At 36.8% G+C, this 14,958-nt stretch overlaps 1 protein-coding gene across 19 annotated transcripts in view; it reads right to left on the reverse strand.

Annotated features, from left to right (window-relative positions):
- The window catches only part of THOC2 (THO complex subunit 2), a 132,484-nt gene that overhangs the window by 26,450 nt on the left and 91,076 nt on the right, over nt 1–14,958 (reverse strand). For 12 of the 19 annotated variants that reach the window (XR_007068195.1, XM_017029679.2, XM_047442274.1 and 9 more), the window contains 8 exons: nt 13,508–13,604; nt 11,916–12,009; nt 11,025–11,105; nt 9,061–9,157; nt 6,935–7,052; nt 5,843–6,022; nt 4,670–4,834; nt 675–950 (listed from right to left, as the gene is read on the reverse strand). Coding sequence is in view for 18 of the 19 variants with exons in the window: in XM_017029679.2 (XP_016885168.1) it covers nt 675–950; nt 4,670–4,834; nt 5,843–6,022; nt 6,935–7,052; nt 9,061–9,157; nt 11,025–11,105; nt 11,916–12,009; nt 13,508–13,604 (1,108 nt within the window). In the remaining variant the exon portion in view is untranslated. The remainder of the gene's footprint in view (nt 1–674; nt 951–4,669; nt 4,835–5,842; nt 6,023–6,934; nt 7,053–9,060; nt 9,158–11,024; nt 11,106–11,915; nt 12,010–13,507; nt 13,605–14,958) is intronic. The other 7 variants (NM_001081550.2, NM_001441236.1, NM_001441235.1 and 4 more) reach the window with 1 other exon arrangement.

Below are 14,958 nucleotides of genomic sequence, written 5' to 3' on the forward strand. Positions count from 1 at the left end.
TGGTCTTTAGCCTAATGCTAGTCAAAAAGCATCTTTCATACTGCTGTCATGAGTAATCTTTTTTAAGTACCATTTTTTACATTACTATCCTGCTCAGGAATCTAAAATAGCTCTCAATTTTACCAAGTCTACTTTTCTCCCTGACTTCCAATGCCTACATAATCTGGCCCCATCATAACTATTCATATGAATCACTAAGTACATTCACTACATGAAAGTGAATCAGTAAAAGTGGTCTCCCTAAACCTCAATCTACTTCCTGTCTTTGCTGGAACCCTATGGTGACCTCCCTATCTGCTTCCATATTTCCAAACCTAATCTACCTTCAAGGCCTGTCCATTTCAAGACTCGGCTTCTCAATAGTCTTCTCCTAAAGAACTCTCCTCTTGAGAACTACTGCTCTTGCTATTAGAGTCACATGAATCACTTTAAGTTACTAGCATAGTCGTCAGTAGAAAAGGACACTCAAATAATTTTTGATTAATCATAACCTCCACCTAGTCACCAAACTCCTGGCCCCCCACTCAGAAGTAACTATTAAACCCCATTTAAGAAAATATTATATAGCAACAAGATCACTGTTTTAAGGAACCAGAGCTAAAACAATTTCAAAATATAGGTAACATTGAATACCATAAAGTTATTGCACTTGAACTACTAGAACAAAAACCTACCATTTCCTGATTGTCATCAATTGCTTTCATCTGGACTTTAAGTTTATTGACTTCTCGTTCATAGCTGGTGTGTGGAACTGCAAGGTCATACATTGTCAATGACCAGAATGTAGCATAGAATTGAGGGCTGATGTCATCCCAGACTTTGGAAACATGTAAGGAGACCACTGCTTCATGGACAGGCGCCATCACCATCTCACATGATGTAATGTACTTATGAACTTTATGTTGCTGTTTACTTCCCTTTTCTGATTTTTTAAGTTCATCATACTTTGACTGTAGATAAAAAGTAAAAATACATACATACATACACACACAACATAATTTATAGCTTTGACTTTCATGGCATAAAAATCTATATTCCCTTCTAAAGAATCAAAAGATGACCAATCTCAAAACTGTTGTAGAAATTCTAGTTTCTTATGAACAACGTTTATTTTAAGATAAATCATCTCTGGAAGCTATTCCAGTCTTTAGTACTGTGTGCCAACTAGGAGATTCTCAGAGGGTTCTTATCTAATCTGACCTGTTGAGTAAAGTGAACAGGGTATATGCATGTTCTCCTCTTTCATTCCCCCACCCTACTCCCTCTTGCTGCTGTATCAGGGATTGAACATGTAGGGTTTCCAGTCCTGCTTTTGAGATATTCAAGGGAACAAATAGAAGGTCTTAACATGAGAAAAGAGGAAGAATGGAACTAGTAATAGCCAACTAGGACAGAATGTAGTATCACTACATGCAGACCCTACCAACTGTTAAAATTTGTCAATTAAAAAGCTGGATCAAGAGACCAAGGCGGGCAGATCACTTGAGATCAGGAGTTTGAGACCAGCCTGGCCAGCATGTCAAAACCCCATCTCTACAAAAAATTAGCCAGGCGTGGTGGCGCAGGCCTGTAATCCCAGCTACTTGGGAGGCTGAGGTGAGAGGATCACTTGAACCCCAGAGGCAGAAGTTGCAGTGAGCTGAGATCATGCCCCTTCACTCCAGACTGGATGACAGAAGGAGACTGTCTCAAAAAATAAAAATTAAAAAAAAAAAAAAAGCTGGATCAACACTAAGAAAAGTTATGAGAAATTTGTTTTAAGACTGCTAAGTAGGGTGACCAATTGTCAGGGTTTGCTGGGGATTCAGGGATTTCTGAGGATTTAAGACTTCAGTGCTAAAACTGGGAACATCCCAGGCAAACCAGGACCAACTGGTTACTCTACTGCTAAGCCAAATAAATTTTTCTGTGAAAAGCTGTGGTATATTGAAGTTTAAAGCATGTGAGAACTGATGCTGCAGCTTCTTTCGTTTGACTGGTTTATCCTAATTTGGGGGAAAAAACAGAGGAATGCCATATTCTTAATTGTATGAGGAAAAAAAATTGTTAGTACAATGGGAGGGGCTGCAGAGATGTGTATGCCAAATATATTATACATATATATACACACACAAAAATATATATATTTTTTCTATATATTCTATATATATGAAGATAACATATATATGAACATATATATTATACATGAACACACACACACACACACACACACACACACACACACACACATATATATGAAGATAACACAGAGTTGCTGCTATTGTTTCACATCCTTCAGTCTCTTTAGGATGAAAGAGCTCTCATCCAGAAAATTTTGTTTAAGTTAGGTATCACCCTTCATACGAACCTAAAGGAAGTCCTAAAACTAGTTACTTCCTTACGTTAGAAAATCACTTAAATCATTCTATTTGTGCTAAACACGTAACCCAAAACGAGATGATCAAAGGTTCTGCTTCCAGTTCTACACTGTGATAGGCAAAAGAGTCTCAGCTCCTTACAGCTCAGTTACCTGCCTTCCTTCCTGAGTGCTCAATTTTACAATTGTTCTAGAATTTTACAATTGTTCTAGAAGTGGGAAGATTTATGCTCTGTTATCCCCATTTTAGAGAGCATGCTGACAACCACTGAGACCACGTAAGTGACAAAGCTACAAAGAACATTAGTTACGAAAAAGGAGTCCCAATTGCATCAGAAACCTGAGGGAATAGCAGTTGGGAAAACAGAGAGTGTTTTTTAATTTAGAGGACAGGTCTTATTGAAGGTAACTAATATGAATCTAGATGAGCAGAATGACTTCTGCTAAGGTTCTAACAAAACGGGATAAAATAGGGCTGACATTATCTGCATAAAAGACAGCCTAATTACCTGTTCTGGGCAAGATCTAGAATATGAACTAGGTTAAAAGCCTATCTTTCAGACCTGTGTCTCAAGGTGGACCACAACCTCAACAATTAAAACTAAAAATTAGTTTATAGGTATGAGAGGGTTACATGATAGCTCCAATCTCCCCAGTCCTCTGGGTCTGAATCTGTGATTTCTATTGCTAGGAACCCCATAGTCACTATCTAGTTAGAAAAATAGGCTTGGTCAGAAAAGAAGGCTATACTTCGTATTTACCCAAGATGAATATGTCCTTGTCTAAAGTCAGTTTAACTCCCACTTCAAGTTCACACCTTCAGTCAAATGAAGAGACATAACAGTTCTACATTTCAAATTGCCTGGGGAACTAGACTTATGGAATAGAACTGATATCCACAATTATTGCTGTACTTCTCACTATTGTTCAAAAATCTCGTCTCAAGAATCTGAGCAGGCCAGGCACAGTGGCTCATGCCTATAATGCCAGCACTTTGGGAGGCCAAGGCAGGCGGATCACCTGAGGTCAGGAGTTTGAGACCAGCCTGGCCAACATGGTGAAATCTCATCTCTTCTAAAAATACAAAAATTAGCTGGGTGTGGTGGCGGGCACCTGTAATCCCAGCTACTTGGGAGCCTGGGATAGGAGTATCGCTTGAACCCGGGAGGTGGAAGTTGCAGTGAGCTGAGATTGCGCCACTGCACTCCAGCCTGGAAGACAGAGCGAGACTCCATCTCAAAAAAAAAAAAAAAAAAAAAAAAAAAATCTGGGCAGCGTTTGGCTGAATTATCCTCAAGAGAGCCTGCTGATAGTTTATAGAGGGGACATAGCAATCACCTAATATACATTTTCACTCTCTCAACGAAGGCTCTTCAACAGAGGCTTTCACTCAAGAAGCAAAAGCAAGGATCCCCAGGACAGCTTGGATGCCCATCCAGCACAACCACAAGATTGCTGGGAAACACCTTTTCCAGAGAGTGGCATGCTGCCTACAGATAAAAGACTTATATCTGACTTGGCTATACAGCCACTTTCATTTAGTTTTCTGTTTTCTTCCAAGCCTGAGAGGGAAATGCCATTTCTTTGTTTAGGTTTTTGTATCTCTTAAAAGACAAAGGTAATATTTTACACAAGTAAGAGAGAAAAAGTAGCTTGAATGACCTGCTCCATTTTCTGAGCTGGAAAAGTTCAGCCAACCACAGACAACCAGGTGTTCCTGTTTGCTAGGATTCCATATTGCTGATTAGTGTGTTCACTTAGCACAGGGCAGGTCAGAATTCCTAAGATGAAGAAATTCTCCCACCTCTGTCTGTCAAGAAATCAGGTACCCTCTTGCACAGCTGAGACTGATCTACCATGGGGTGTGACAACAGTAAGACGTTACACAAAGACGGCAAACAATTCTCTGGATTGAGAGGATCTAAAGGGGAAGAAGCAGCCTAACACCACTCCCTTATTGTCTTTTTCCCTTCAGAGTGTATACATAACACAGGAATTTCTGCATAGTGCTAACAAAGTGATAATTAAATCAAGTAGCAGTTAGTTAGGAAAGAAGTGGGAGACTGTAGCAGTTGATATGTAAACACTAACAGCAGATGTTTGATTAAATGATCAATTAGACTCCAAATTTCTCATCACCTTTTTTGTATACCTCTACCACACAGCTTCGTACCCCTATTGGAAACAAAGAAGGGATCCTAGTTTAGGGCCAAGACCTTCCCCCAAAATCTGTAGTGATATGTACTTACAGATAAAACCGTTAAGAAATAATTTGGATCGTTCTTGAGCGGCAGCAAAGACACTTGTACTTACCGAAATATGATGGGCATACATTGGCCTAGACAGGAAAAATGCTGCATCATGGGGTGTATGAAATTCATTACAGAGTACATCAATTGAAGGCACTCGCTTTATATAATCTTCTGTGCTCAGATTAGATGCTAAAAACCCACCAAACTGCACCAGGGTATCATGACACTAAATTTAAAAAATAAGACAAAATCAACATATTTTCCAAAGTGATTAAGAAGTCATTTTAGGAATATTTTAACAATTAAGAATCCAAATTTTATAACTTAAAAGGACTTTAGAGACTATCTACAAGTATAACCACATGACCATATTACAAAAAAAGATGCCAAGGCCCTGACAGGTTGACTAATCCAAGGTTTTACTAGCCAACTAGGTCTCTTAAATGTCAAGCTGTTGTTCATCACTTTTAGTAGAATATATTTACCTAAATCAAATAAAATAATAACCATAGGCAAACAGAAGTCAATTCCTTTGCCCTTAAAAGAAGAAAACTTTATTTACAGAATATATTTATAAATATTAAGTACCAAAACCTAAGATTAGCCCACAAAATGTGTTTAACTATCATCAACTATAACACAAAGAAAAAGAGAGACAGCAACCCAGCCTGGGCAACACGGCAGAGGCCCGACTCTACAAAAAAAATCTAAAAATTAGCCAGGTGTGGTGGTGCATGCCTATAATCCCCAGCTACTCGGGAGGCTGAGGTAGACTGATCACTTGAGCCAGGGAGGTCAAGGCTACAGTGAGCTGAGATCATGCACTGCACTCTAGCCTGGGTAACAGAGTGAGGCTTTGTCTCAAAAAAAAAAAAAAAAAAAAAAAAAGGGAAAAGAGAGTGAGCATGCACAAGTGGGCAAGCAAGCATCTATTCTGTTATGACTGAGATTTCCAGAGATCGGGAAAGATATAAATGCAAACAACTTGAAGTTGCAGGAATTTAATGATGTAATATTTAATTAATTGACAGCCTTACATATAACATCTCTTGGAGCTATCTCTTATATATCACAATTTACATAGAAATAGGCCCTATTTCCAGAATGTCTTTCACATTAGGATGTCTCATATTCAAATGATGTGCAAAAATGACATTTTTCAAATTATAACACATTATCCTCCTTTAACAGGATTAAAAACATGTACATAAACATAAAAGCCACTTTAACTTGCCTGGTCATAGAGCTTTCCCACAAGTTTCAAATGTTTCTCTCCACCTTCCTGAAAGATTACCCCATTTCTCTGCTGAGCCATAAGCAGACAGAGAGGAAGGGCAAGATCATGGTCCAATAGAGCATCCTTTAATCTCTGAGAGGATTTTTTAGTGTTTCTGATCTGACCAAAATAACCACCCTGCACAAGGGAAGACACAAATTTACCAGTGTACAGTACATAACCCATGCTAATTTGAAAAAGACACAGAAAAAAGTTGAGTTAAAATGCTTAATATAAAAAACTCCTACATTCCACATTCCTTCCCTTACACAAATTTATTTCAGTGACTATTACTGACTACAGTCACTGGCTTAAAGACAAATGTCAACTGAATTTAAATTTCTGCATATTTTCCATTTTCCACCTTGCAGTCCCCTCATAAAGGATTATTCATTATTCAGTATGGCACAGATTCAACAGAGCAACTAAGACTTAAGGGAGTGAGGATATCAAGGATCATAGAAGATATAGTAATTATTTGGTGATTATTTTATTTATTTATTTATTATTTATTTTTTGAGACAGCATCTCACTGTCTTGCCCAGAATGGAGTACGATGGCGAGATCTTGGCTCACTGCAACCTCCGCCTCCTGGGTTCAAGCAATTCTCCTGCCTCAGCCTCCCAAGTAGCTGGGATTACAGGCACCCACCACTACACCTGGCTAATTTTTTGTATTTTTAGTAGAGGCAGGGTTTTGCCATGTTGGCCAGGTTGGTCTCGAACTCCTGACCTCAGGTGATCCACCCACCTCAGCCTCCCAAAATGTTGGGATTATAAGCGTGAGCCACCACGCCCGGCCTTATTTGGTAATTATTTTCCTTACGGATGCATTACTTACTGCCTTTTATACTTTGTTTCAGCTTTTTTAAAAAGTTAAAGTAATTACTGTATCTCAATTTCAAAAGGGGGGCAGGGGTGGTTGTGAAAGGAAGGTATGTATGGCTTTGACATTTGGTTTTATAAACTTACATATTGTTTGGATTCTTTACTATGACCGTGCATACATTATGAATTTTAAAAGTTGATGAACAAAAATAGCAATTCTTACCTCAGCTTTTAGCTGCTCTCCACCAGTCATAGCCTCTAGTTGCTCCATTGTCATTTCCTCTGTAATTTCTATTCCTGCCATTTTTTGTACCACTTCTTTCAATATAAGCAGGTCAAAACTATTCAAAAAGAAAAAAGAAACAGTCTATAGTTAGAACTTCAAATATAAAAGTAACAATGTATTGTAATTAATATACTGAGAAACCCTTAATTATTTGTATATAAATATGGGGGAAGGGGCTGAAGCAGTTTTTAACTGCATTCCTAGAACTATATTGACAAATACTTGGTGCGTAAGTTTATTTTAACTTTTACTTGGAAATAATTGCAAATTTACAGATAGGATGGAAAAATAACAATAGTACAAAGCTCACCCATATATCCTTTACCTCAACTTCACCTGGTAACATTTTTACTCCTGCTTGATTATTTGCATTTTCTCTCCCTCTCTGGAGCCCCTCTCTACATACATAGTCACACACTCAATTTTTTAATCATTTGAGGGAAAATTATTTACATCATGGCCTTCTACCCCTAAAATTTCTAAGACTGAATTTCCTAAGAGAGCTATTCTCTTAAATAACCACAGCACAGTTATCAATTTTAGTACATGTAACGCTGATACAATACTTTAATCTACCATTCATATTTCATTTTATCAGTTGACCCAATAAAGTCCTTCATAGCATTTTTTCTCCTCCAATACAGGATGGCCAAAATGTTTTTGATGGTATAGAGCCATTTCTAAATAATCCATTTACTAAACAGGGACAAAGATGTAGCATGGTCACATACACTTGGAAGCGAGGCAGGGAAGGAAGGAAAAAAAGAAGTTCTAAGTTGTGGTATCTGAGCCAAAGATGACAATTTAGTGGCCAGCCCAGAGCACATTTCAGTAATGTGCCAACAGTTATGCTTTTTAATCTGCAAAGTTTAGGACTACCAATGGAAATAATACCTTATGTCCTCTAAGATCTTCTTTAATTAATCTAAACAAAGTAAAAACATTCTTTCCTAAAACATACAGATGTTTTTCCAAACATAAAGTCAGACATACCCAAGACACAAGCTAATAGACGAAAGAACCATTTTCTAAGATTCTTATTAAATGTTTGTTCTCTCAACTTGCCTTGCTTTCCTTAGTTTCGTTTGTTTTTTTTAAAGAAAGCCCTCATGAAAACTAGTATATAAGTACCAATGAAACAGTTTATTTTTTCTTTAAACTATGTTTTAATTAGATGGTCACAAAAACTGTATTCACAGTACAGAAAGCTGAGTTATAGATTAAAAAATGATATATATTCTCCTGGCCTATAGACAAAGAAGAATAAAAATATATAGAAATGGCAGAGAGATGAGCATAAGGGATGTGCCCATAAAATCATAAGTTTAAAGTTTTTTTAAGTTTTCCCTAAGCCAAAATAAGAATCTGTCAATAATTACTTAGGTAATACTTGTTTGGAACACCAAGTAGCTTTTAATTTTTTGTTTGTTTGCTTTCTACCAGAAAGCTTCTGAAAACAATTCAGGTTCTTTGATTCTAGTCAGTTTACTTCTCATGAGGTTTAATACACATACATACTAATTCAAACTCTAAGCACTGATATTGACCCAAAATAAAATAAACTTCAGTATTTATAAAGAAAAAAGGACATTGTCCAAAAGGTATGAAAGCCTTATGTATCTCTAAAACTCAAATTCAAAAATTATGCTTTAAAGGTATTATATACACCCTCAAGATAAACAAGTTCCTACCAGATGTTCAATGTGACACAGGTCAATTACTGCATACTGACCTAGTGCAGTATGTTTTGTTATACGAAGATATACAATGTATCATATTAGCCATTTACTCAAAAGCCTAATAGGCAGTCAAAATAACTGAAAGTATCTTTTTAGTGCATTAACATATATAGTCATATAGTACATTTATTCATGAAAAAAGGTGTCTATTTATGTATTAAGTTATCATTTAACTAAAGAATTTTATGTAAATAAGTGAGCAACTATTCTACTTGAGCCTACAACCAACAAATAAGTAGTCTTTCGGGATAACAGAGTCTCAATAACCCCAAACCACCAAAAGTACTCTATTGAATTTCATTATGTATAATTTGCTATGAATACCTTTTGCCCGCCTTTAGCTGATTGGCAACATACTGAAGAAGACCAGCAAGATCAATTGGATATTTACGAAAAACTGCACCACAGAAACTAGCCAGACCTATATAAAATAAAAAAAGAGTAAAAACAACTCATAAAACAAAATGCACAAGTATCATTTCAACTAAACCTCTAAAACAAAATGAGGTAGCAATAATTGTATTGCTGATGCTGTTGAATGGAGCTTCATAATAATAACAATAACCAATATTTATTGAGCATACATATGTCAAGCACTGTACCAAGCACTTTATAATGATTATCTCATTTAATCCTTGCAACTATTATCCTAGGTTGGTATAACCTATTGATGAGGCAAATTCAGAACAGATATGTCATGTAACTTGCTCATGGTCACGTAGTACAAAGTAGAGCAGTAAGTCAAATCTTTGCAGCCTGATTCCAGAGTTTGTGAAACTAAGTTATAACAAAATCTTGCAGATCACTCAGTAAACTTGAATAAATGACAAAATGCCAGCCCCTGAATGTGAGTCAAGAAAAAAAAAAATCTCTTTTTATCTTGGAACATGCTACTAGTTGTGGAGGTGCAAGAAAATAAAGTATTACCAGACCTAGAAGCAGACAAGAGACCAACTTTAACCAATGGTCCTTATCATACCATGAATAGGGAGGAGACCCCAGCCAATACAAGAGTAGGAGATTCAAGTAAAGTCAAGTGCTCTGCAGCCTATTCCACAACTATTTGCTAAGCACCTAAATGATATTGGACAAAACACAAGTCCTGCCCTCAAGGAGCTGAGTCTAGTGGAAGATACAGAAAAGTAAACAAATAACTATGATGAGCAAAAGGCTCCATGGGAATATAAAAGAGGAGCGCCCAATTCAGACTTGTGGGTGGGAGCATTAACAGAAAAAGCTTTCCAGAGGAAGTGACCTCTAAGCTGAAATCTAATGAATAAACAGAACATGGAGTGGGCCATGAAGGGTATTCCAAGTCAAGTGAATAATGGGCAAAAGTTCATGGAAAGTACAAGAAGTTCAGTATTAATGGAATCTAGAATATCGGGAAGCAGGGAAAAGATGAGGCTAGAACAGTGCAAAAGGACCTGATTTCAAAAGAACTTACTTGTATGACTTATTAAACATTTCGGACTTTAAAGGACAATGGGGAGCCACTGCAAGATTCCGCTATCAGATACAATAAGTTGAAAGAAAAGGAACTGGCTGCTAGAAACCAAAGGTACAAGAATTAAAAAGAAATATGGTTAGTTTTTTTGGTTAAACTAAGTCAAGTTTTTGTTCTTTTAAGATGACTGGAACCTCAGGATGGAATGGGAAGAAATGAGACTAGATCCCTTACGATCAACTCCTATAAAATAATGTTAGTTAAAAAGGAGATTTTTGGCTAGGCATGGTGGTTCATGCCTGTAATCCCAGCACTTTGGGAGCCGAGGTGGGCGGATCACTTGAGGTCAGGAGTTCAAGACCAGCCTGGCCAACATGGTGAAACCCTGCCTCTAACGAAAATACAAAAATTAGCTGGGCGTGGTGGCGCGTGCCTGTAATCCCAGCTACTCGGGAGGCTGAGGCAGGAGAATTGCTAGAACCTGGGAGGCGGAGGCTGCAGTGAGTCGAGATCACACCACTGCACTCCAGCCTGGATGACAGAGTGAGACTCCATCTCGAAAAAAAAATAAAATAAAAAGAAGGAGATTTCACCTCCCCAGTAATGCTTACCCAAATTCTATCACAGTCAATAATGGTCTCTTAAGTTAGGAAAATAAATAAGTACCATATCAACCTCCTTACATAGCCAAGGGCTCTGCAGAACAAACTCAGTAGCTAGATATTCTCAGCAACTCTTAACAAATAGGCTTCTAAAAGTCTCTAAGCATCGGTAATAAAATGCATAACATGGCAGTTACCACAGATAGTAATTTCATCTTTGGAAAAATAAAAATACTTACTCTGAAGCCAGCTTGAGATGGTTGTGTCATCATGTTTCATTCTTTCCTTTTCTGGATTAGCTAAAGCTTCAATGATACAATCTTTCATACATTAAGAAAAAACTAAGTCATTACATCTCTAATAAAGACCCTTAAAACATGAATATGCCACATCATAGGGGCAAAATTGTTGGTCATTACAAATTATTTTTCTAGTTTTCCAAGACCAGGGATGTTGCTAAAACTAATTATTGAAAAATACACTTACTGTAGTACCAACATTTCTTCTTTAGCCTACTTTCCATCTTTCAGCAATCAAGACAGATTCCATCAATATCAAGATGTTTGGTAAGCCAACTGGGTGCAGTGGCTCATGCCTGTAATCCCAGCACTTTGGGAGGCCAAGGTGGGTGGATCACTTGAGGTCAGGAATTCAAGATCACCCTGGCCAACCTAGTGAAATCCCACCTCTACTAAAAACAAGGAAATTAGCCAGGTGTGGTAGCACACGCCTATAATCCCAGCTACTTGGGAAGCTGAGGCAAGAGACTCGCTTGAACCCAGGAGGCGGAGGTTGCAATGAGCCGAGACAGTGCCACTGCATTCCAGCCTGGGAGACAGAGCAAAAGTCTGTCTCACACACACAAAAAAAAAAAGTTGGTAAGCCTAACATGTCTCCCTTTATACAACACAAAGACACACACGTACACACACACACACACACACACACTCTCTCTCTCTCTCACATACACACACACACACACACACACACACAATTGACTGACCAAACTTCAGATCAGCCACCTGAATCAACCTCAGATGGTTACTAAAGGAAAATAGAATGAAAATAAAACGTTTACCATATGATCTATTAAATATGAAATCTACATATTACTTCACTTGAAAGGATACAGGCCAAGACATCATAATTCAGTGAAGTGAGGTATTTCAATGAATCTACTACAGGTGTTATTAAGTTATCATACTTCTGTATTTGTGACAAGATCTGGAAAACAGCAACAAACAATAGAAGGCATTAACTGATCAAAGGATTTCTACTGTGCCAACTAAGTAATGGCTACACTTTCTATTTTTCAAAAGAAATAATGCTTATAATTAAAGTGGTTTCCTATATAAATATTTAACAAAGTGGTTTCTATATAAATATTTCATATTTATATAGAAATTACTATTTTATCACTGCCTTAGAGAATATTTTCTTAGGCTACATTTTTCAGTTAGAAAATAATTCCAATTCTATAAAAAATGACAGTGGTAATCTGACTGGAACTGCAATGAATCTGTAGATTCCTTTGGGCGGTATGGACATTTTAACTACATTGATTCTTCCTATCCAAGAGCATGGAATGTCTTTCCATTTGCTTGTATCATCTATGATTTCTTTCAACAGTGTTTTATAGTTCTAGTAGAAATCTTTCACCTCCTTGGTTAGATGTATCTCTTGGTACTTTTTTTGTGGCTATTGTAAATGGGATTGTGCTCTTGATTTGGTTTTCAGCTTGAACATTATTGGTACATAGAAATGCTACTGATTTTTGTATGTTGATTTTGTATCCTGAAACTTTACTATGGGTACACACGGACATAAAGATAGAAAGACACTGGGGACTCTAAAAGTTAAGTGGGGTGGGGCAAGGTTTGAAAAACTACCTATTGGGTACTATGCTCACTATTTGGGTGAGGAGTTCAATAGAAACCCAAACCTCAGCATTATGCAATACATCCATGTAATAAACCTGCACATGTACCCCTTGCATCTTAAAAAAATTAATTTAAAAAGGAAATAATTCCAGGCCTAAAGCTGAATTTTGGAATGAAAGAGTCTAGTCTCTCTCATATGTTTTAGATATCTCTAAATATGGGCCAGGTGTGGTGGCTCACGCCTATAATCCTAGCACTTTGGGAGGTCGAGGTGGATGGATTACCTGAGGTCAGGAGTTCAAGACCAGCCTGGCCAACATGGTGAAACCACATCTCTACTAAAAATACAAAAAATTAGCCAAGTGCAGTGGCATGCGCCTGTAATCCCAGCTACTTGGGAGGCTGAGGCAGGAGAATCGCTTGAACCCGGGAGGCAGAGGTTGCGGTGAGCCAAGATCGGGTCACTGCACTCCAGCCTGGGCAATAGAGCAAGACTTCATCTCAAAAAAATAAATAAATAAATAAATATTGCAGTGATAGTATTACATATAAATCACAATGAAATGTTATTTGAATGTTTCTAAAAGTCTAAAATCAAGTAATACCAGAAATCAAGATGTGGTATACAAAATAACATTATATATACAAAATAACTATTATATTGCCTGTAATAGTAGCACTGTTACATATTACTATTAAAATAGATCAATGTGTTAAATATATTGTGTAGTAATTTTGTTTTTAGCATAACCTTACAATGTTTCATTTTCTAACATCATTCTATTTCCACTTGCACTGATTTAAAGGCAACAGAAAGAAAAATCCCTTAAAATAATATTAACCTCAAAACATACATAATCAAACAAAATGGTTGGATTGCTGTGGCTCAACTTCCCAATTTGTCTTCCAGAAGGCTTCACATTTTCCTTGGTTAGGCGCCTACGGAGGAAGAAAAAGGTGGCACGGATCATCTTAAGTAACATTCCTTGTAATGTTGATAGCTTTGTTACATCATCGTGGGGGAAAAAGCAATTATTCCCCAAATATCCAAAATGGATTCATGTAAACAACTACATTCATCACATCCTTTATGGTAGGATTTGGGCTATTTTGGTTAGGGATTCTCTCAGAGGATATTAACATTTTATATTAAATGCTTAACATTTATAAAATACACATTTCCACTTTATAGTAATAGTCTAATAATCAGTAAAACTCTTAATGTACTCTACAAGTACATAAAACTCTTCTTACAAAGAATCAAAATTATTTCAGATTTAGGAGGACTCATCAGTTTAGGGATTAAGATATCAAATTTGGTGTCATGCAATGAAATGTCTCGTGCCATCTGTCTCAGTGACTCTAACAGAGTTACTGTGTTATCTGTAAACTTATGTAACTTTACTCCCTCAATATGTAAAGTTATCTGCTTTTCATATTCAAGGTAAACAATATTTTGAAACTAAATTCTACTCCTTTCCTTCCTCTTTATTTCTTCCTTTGCTCATTATCCTTTTGCCAGCATTCTGCAAATTTTATCTATGAATTCTTACAGTTCAAAACAATTATTACACAGAATCTTAAATGCCTCTCCTGAGATGATTACATAATAAATCTAGAGACTTCAAAAGGCTACAAGTGACAGGAAGGAAGCTTTCTAGGATGAAAATATAATGAAGTAAATTATGAATTCAGTTTATAATTCAGGAGATGTGACCATTCTCCAAGTGACGAACTTGCTTTAATTAATTTCTCATGACAAAACTGGCCCCATCAATCAAAACTGTTTCATCAACTGCTTCCCTTTCCAATTCTCCATATCCCAGTTTTGGTTTCATAGAAAAGAGAGACCATTAGTTTTAAAAGTTAGCTATACAGTATTTTGTTCAAATTTCCAACTTACCACTACCTGTCCCTATTTCTAACCCCAATATTTCAGGTGCCTCCCTCTACTTGCCAAGGCCAACCCCTCCTTTCTCTGTTTTTCATTCCATTCCCTTCTGCCTCCATCACCCTGGAGGGACAAACAAACAAAAATTAAAGAAATATTTTCTTGTCTTTGTCTTCCCCTCAAACTACCAGTGTCTAGCATATGGAACATAATAAACATTTGTAGAAAGAATTACTAAATGCCCTATAGCAAGCTCATGTTTTAAATAGTATTCAAAACTCATGAAATTCTACAAGTAATAAGTTAATACATTATATGCTCAATGTAAAAACTTCAAACAGTAACAAAATCATATTGTTTAAGCCTGGTAAAATAGTTATAGCTTACAAATATAACAAAAAT

Source organism: Homo sapiens, chromosome X (assembly GCF_000001405.40).
Source record: "Homo sapiens chromosome X, GRCh38.p14 Primary Assembly".
NCBI classification, from domain to species: domain Eukaryota; kingdom Metazoa; phylum Chordata; class Mammalia; order Primates; family Hominidae; genus Homo; species Homo sapiens.